Consider the following 6,238-nt stretch of genomic DNA (forward strand, 5'->3'; position numbering starts at 1 on the left):
TGCAATTTTTTAAAGTAGATACAAGGTCTCACAAAGTTGCCCAGGCAGGTCTCAAACTTGTGGCTTCAAGCAATCTTCCTACATTGGCCTCCCAAAGTGCTGGGATTACAGGCATGAGCTAGCGTGCCCAGCCTCATCATGATTTTTAAACACTTAACATAAAAATTTGACTGGATTTGAAACACATTATCACATGAAACTTTATATCACATTTGTCAAGGAATGTTAAACATTTTAAAAATAATTTCTACTACTACAAATTTTCAATGGTTATAAATATGGTTCTAACTTTTTAGCCACTGATTTTGGTGAGCAAAAGTGCAATAATTATCAAGAATTTGAAGAAGTCATAATTAAAAATCTGTATGAGAAATTATATTTAACCATTTCAAGCCTAAAAGCTGATTAGGAAGCTTTTTTTTAATCAGCCATCTTGAGTTTCTCATTTAAATATTTAGAAAATATTTCATGTGAAATTTTATCCAAATTCAATAATTCATATATTTCAAAATATTTATATTTATTTTTCCTGTTGTAATTAGATGATATGAAGATAATATAATAGGTTATTTTTTTTCTCCAAACCTCATATTGATATCTCCAAATCCCCCCGTGCCAGGTTAGTAGAGAGTACTATGCAAATATAATCATTTTCTATGTGGCAAGTCATAAAAAAAAGTTTGGAAACACTGGCTGAGACCATCCGCCATCCATCCGTAGAGGCTGGGCATGTGACAATCCCAAACACATTGAGGTTCCTTTGGCAAAGAAGATTTAGAAATGGACGGCAGCCCAACAGCATCTGCCACAATGGGTTATAAGCGTCCACTCCACTGAATTCAGGGCACTGATTAATTGTGTATGCTTTTCTCTTCAGCTCTCATTTAAAGGTATGTGAAGACTAGACCTCCTGTATAAAGCAATTAAATAGAGCTTCTCCTTGCATAGCCCCTTCCACCAGGGATATGTCTTGGAGAATGGCCCAATTACAATTACCTTCAAAACAATGTTACAAAATAAATCCATTTTCAACCAAATTCTTTGCCAACCATAAGCCAAATGTTCTGGCTAAACTGGGAGAGCTACGCTCTTTCCTGTTTCTTTGCCATTTTCCAGCCTCTGAGAACAGAGATTGTAAGAGCAAAACATCTCATGCAAAACCATGCTACCTGCATCATGGGGACAGCTGAGTCAGCTTTGATCACCTTAAATTCTGTATTATTTATGGTCCTCACTTTTTGACCTTTGGTGTAAATTGCCAAGCATTTATTTAGCACTGACTGTGTGCTAGAACTATCAAGGGTACAAAGGTGATTTAGACCTACTGCTGGCCTAGGATGCAGGGAAATGATGTACTGAAACTGGACAGACAAAAGGCCATGAATATTGGGGTCTTATTCTGGGAAGGTGATTTGTCTAGTAGGGTAGGGTGTGAGAAAGAGTGAAGAAGGAAACAAGCAAGATGGTAAAGGTCCAAAGAACTTAAAACTCTGTATTGTAGACAACAGACAACAGGAAGCCAACAGAGATTTTAAGGCTGGGAATAGTTTAACTTTTTTTTCCAAACTGATCTGATATAGCTGATTTTGGGGATGTGTTTGATTTTTTGTTTTTTTTTAACCAAACTGATCTGGGAGTAGTGTGAAAAAGCAACATGTCATGTCACATTATAATGTTTTCCAGTTTGCAAAGTGCTTTCACACATCCACTTTCAGGTGTTCTTTAGTTTTCAGCTAATTAATTTGGGCAGGTACCAAGAAAGATACAGCTAGATGAACTGTCACTCTAGTCAGGCACATGCTTTCAGAGCAACAGGTAAGAGTGTGAACTCTGGCTTCAAACTACCTGCATTTGGAGCTTGGCTTTGCCGCTTTCTAGCTGTCTGATCCTGGGCAAGGTATTTAAACTCTGTCTCATTTACTAATATGCAAAATGGGGATATTAATAGCATCTACTGCATAGAATTGCTCAAGGATTAATAAAAAAATATATATATATAAAGCCCTTAAAATGATGCTTAGTCTATAGCAAGTTCTTAAAATGTTATTACTTGTGATATTATTTTTAATCTCAGAGTTCATATAGATATTTTAGAAATAGATTACATACATACATATTCATGTACATATACACATGCATATACACATACACACTAGCCACATGATTTCCCCCACTAGAATTTAGATCCGTAGGAAGAGAGTAGGTTGCCATACTCCAGTGCCAGCTACAGTGAAATGGTATAGAGTAGCCCTCAATAAATATTTGTTGAATTAATGAACTGTGGATGAGACCATGCTATGCAAACCTTTTTGTCTTCCTTCTGGGCAATCGCAGATGGATTATGGTTCCTAAGCCCACCATATCCAGGTGGCATCACATGACATGTTATAGCCAATGGAGTCTGCTCTGGCCCCTAACACCTCTGCGAGATGCCCCAGACTCACATCACTCCCCTGATAAGGATTTTGCAGAGGATTCAGAGGACCCACAGAAGGACAAAGGAGCACCAGATGAAAGGTGCCTGGATCCCTGAGTCACTGAATGTAGGAGGGATGCCCAAGAGAGCTGACCAACATGTTGGAGTTTGTAGAAGCAAGAAGTTAACTTCCATTTTGTTAATCCATTAAGGTTTTTGTTTCTTTTGTTTTTAATAGCAGTTAACCTAGTTTGAGTAATGCAGAAGATAGGGAAAAACATTTACTTTCATGCTTTTTTCTAGTATAAATAAGCAATAATAGCAAAGTCAGATTTAAAACTGGAAGGAAGCTTCAGAGAGCAGCTAGTTCAAATTTCTCCTTCTACCATGAGGAATCAGAGGCCCAATGTGGTTAAATGACTCAGTCAAGGTCACACAATTGAAACTGGACACCAGGCCTCCTGATTTCTAGGCCAATGTTTTGTTTTGTTTTGTTTTGTTTTGTCTATTGGCCCCAGGAATTAAAAGTATTATTGCTTTCCAAATTGAGTTCATAAAAACAAAATAAGAATATTGTCTTTTAAAATAAAACAGAAAAGGGAAAGAAAATGACATTTAACTAAACCTCAAGTAAATTAAAACTGGCTGCAGATTGATTTAATTCATTGAAATAAAAATCTCCCAATATTGTCCAAATCACATGGCCTAATTTGTCTATTTGGGTAAGCAGCCTGCCTCTCAAATCCTGGGAACTTTGAAATGGGAGGCCCAGTTACTACAACAATAGTCTAAATCCAAGCTCTGTGCACTAAGCATTAATGATGGAATGATGGTACTTAACTCCATTGCACCTGGCCAGTTCTTGATTAAATCAAATAGCATTAACTAATAAAAGATTAAAATATTTAGATTCAAATTAGAGAGTTTCCAAAAACAATCTCCCAAAGCCACTTAGTTTTATTCATTTTCTAAACAATTTTAAAGTTCTTCCAAACAGCAAAGTAGAGTGCAAATTCATTAGGAACAATAAAAATAAAAATTGGAAATGAACAATACATTAAGGAACATTCTTTAAATGCACAAATCCCACGAGTCAGTAGAAAGTATAATGGACCTGAAGTCAGCACTTCCAGGCCTACATGCTGGTTCTATCATTGGCTGTTTAACCTGCAAATTAACCTCTCAAAGCCTCAGTTACTGCATTTGTAAAATCAGGAAAACAATACATATCTCATGAGATGCCTATGAGACGTTACATGAATGCCAGTGCAGTGCTTAGAAAATGTTTGTTTTGCAACAGTGAGGAAAAGCCTGCAGATTAAGAAACTCGGACTTCCCCCATGTTAGCTACAAAACATAATCACTGAGTATGTTGACTGTAGGAAAATTTCAAAAAAGTCGACAATTTCATGGAAGTAGCCAGATCTGTCTTTGGCTAACATGGATGCTGAAAACCCAAGCTGAAGGGATTCAGAAAGGATCAGGAAGAAGACACTTATCTGTACTCCTGATTCCTGCAAGGCTATTGTCAATACACCAGCATCATTTCCTTACTTGTTGAATCACCACTCTGTAGAACACTCTGTCAGTCTTCACCTAAATAAATTTCCCTTCCATCCAAGTTTTTCTGCTGGATTATGACCAACTTGATAACCTAGTTTAGTATCCTATGAGTGCCTTAAATACAGAGGATGCTTAATGAAAATTTATTAGACTGCCCGCTCAGCAGCTCACTGGGATTGAATATGCATCTGGCATTGAAAAGAATTGAAATTATACAAATGAAGGTAGCTGACATATTCATGTAAAAAGAACCACCAGATATCATCCATTCCTTGGGCTGGGAGCTACTTATCCCTGACACAGTGGTGATTCAGAGGCAGCCATGGGGGTCACTGCCTGCTTTTTCCTAATCATCTTCAGGGCCCAGAGGCAAGGGGAAGGTTCAGAAAACTACAGTTGACTTCAAAACCCAAAACTCAGTTAATGAGATTTATCTGAAAAATGAAAACAAACTAACAATTTAGCACAGGAGAAAGAAGCCTGTCTCAGAGAGAGATCTGAAAAATAGCAAAGCAGAGCATTTGCTAAATAATCTCCAGCTACAAACTAGCAAGTGTCAGGATCACTTAGATCAAGGGGAGAGAAACATAAAACCCCTAGCTTAGTATGTGGCAGTAGTTATACAAGCCGACCAAATATTTGATGTCATGGCTGTAAGATAAGAGGATAAAGCAATGATCAGAAGAAATTAATGTGATGGTTTAGGACCCAATTCTGCACAACTGCACTGGTGCATGCCCATGAAGCTGGTCCTGGTGGTCATGGACCAGCCTCACTGGCATCACCTAGGAGCTGGTTAGCCATGCAGAGTCTCAGGCCCTGCCCCAGACGTAATGTACCAGAATCTGCATTTTAATAAGAACCCAGGTCATCCATGAGCACTTTCAAGTTTGATATCCTTTAGAGTTTCTCCATCAGGTGGCCTTGGTTTGGAAACCTTAATTATACAAAGGACGTAGTAGAAACAGGACCGAAGGGCCTAAGAAGACCACAGATATTCACTGATGCGGTACATGTTTCATCCACTCATAAACATACTGCTTCTACAGACTCGTTCTTTTAACATTGCTAATTTAATATAACCCAACCCCCCTCTGATGCCGAGCCGAAGCTGGACTGTACTGCTGCCATCTCGGCTCACTGCAACCTCCCTGCCTGATTCTCCTGCCTCAGCCTGCCGAGTGCCTGCGATTGCAGGCGCGCGCCGCCACGCCTGACTGGTTTTCGTATTTTTTGGGTGGAGATGGGGTTTCGCTGTGTTGGCCGGGCTGGTCTCCAGCTCCTAACCGCGAGTGATCCGCCAGCCTCGGCCTCCCGAGGTGCCGGGATTGCAGACGGAGTCTCCTTCACTCAGTGCTCAATGGTGCCCAGGCTGGAGTGCATTGGCGTGATCTCGGCTCGCTACAACCTCCACCTCCCAGCCGCCTGCCTTGGCCTCCCAAAGTGCCGAGATTGCAGCCTCTGCCCGGCCGCCACCCCGTCTGGGAAGTGAGGAGCGTCTCTGCCTGGCCGCCCATCGCCTGGGACGTGAGGAGCCCCTCTGCCTGGCTGCCCAGTCTGGAAAGTGAGGAGCGTCTCTGCCCGGCCGCCATCCCATCTAGGAAGTGAGGAGCGTCTCTGCCCGGCCGCCCATCGTCTGAGATGTGGGGAGCGCCTCTGCCCTGTCGCCCCGTCCGGGATGTGAGGAGCGTCTCTGCCCGGCCGCCCCGTCTGAGAAGTGAGGAGACCGTCTGCCCGGCCAGCCGCCCCGTCCGGGAGGGAGGTTGGGGGGTCAGCCCCCCGCCCGGCCAGCCGCCCCGTCCGGGAGGTGAGGGGCGCCTCTGCCCGGCCGCCCCTACTGGGAAGTGAGGAGCCCCTCTGCCCGGCCACCACCCCGTCTGGGAGGTGTACCCAACAGCTCATTGAGAACGGGCCATGATGACAATGGCAGTTTTGTGGAATAGAAAGGGGGGAAAGGTGGGGAAAAGATTGAGAAATCGGATGGTTGCCGTGTCTGTGTAGAAAGAGGTAGACATGGGAGACTTTTCATTTTGTTCTGTACTAAGAAAAATTCTTCTGCCTTGGGATCCTGTTGATCTGTGACCTTACCCCCAACCCTGTGCTCTCTGAAACATGTGCTGTGTCCACTCAGGGTTAAATGGATTAAGGGCGGTGCAAGATGTGCTTTGTTAAACAGACGCTTGAAGGCAGCATGCTCGTTAAGAGTCATCACCACTCCCTAATCTCAAGTACCCAGGGACACAAACACTGCGGAAGGCC

The 6,238-nt window shown here is 42.4% G+C and overlaps 1 annotated feature.

Annotated features, from left to right (window-relative positions):
* Positions 5,057-5,748: an enhancer, noted in NCBI's record as "H3K27ac hESC enhancer chr7:28877832-28878523 (GRCh37/hg19 assembly coordinates)". NCBI's record gives its function as "activates a minimal SCP1, AML or CMV promoter by ChIP-STARR-seq in naive H9 embryonic stem cells {active_cell/tissue: H9 hESC(naive)}" and the evidence as "EXISTENCE:reporter gene assay evidence [ECO:0000049][PMID:30033119]".

Source organism: Homo sapiens, chromosome 7 (genome assembly GCF_000001405.40).
Source record: "Homo sapiens chromosome 7, GRCh38.p14 Primary Assembly".
Taxonomy (NCBI): domain Eukaryota; kingdom Metazoa; phylum Chordata; class Mammalia; order Primates; family Hominidae; genus Homo; species Homo sapiens.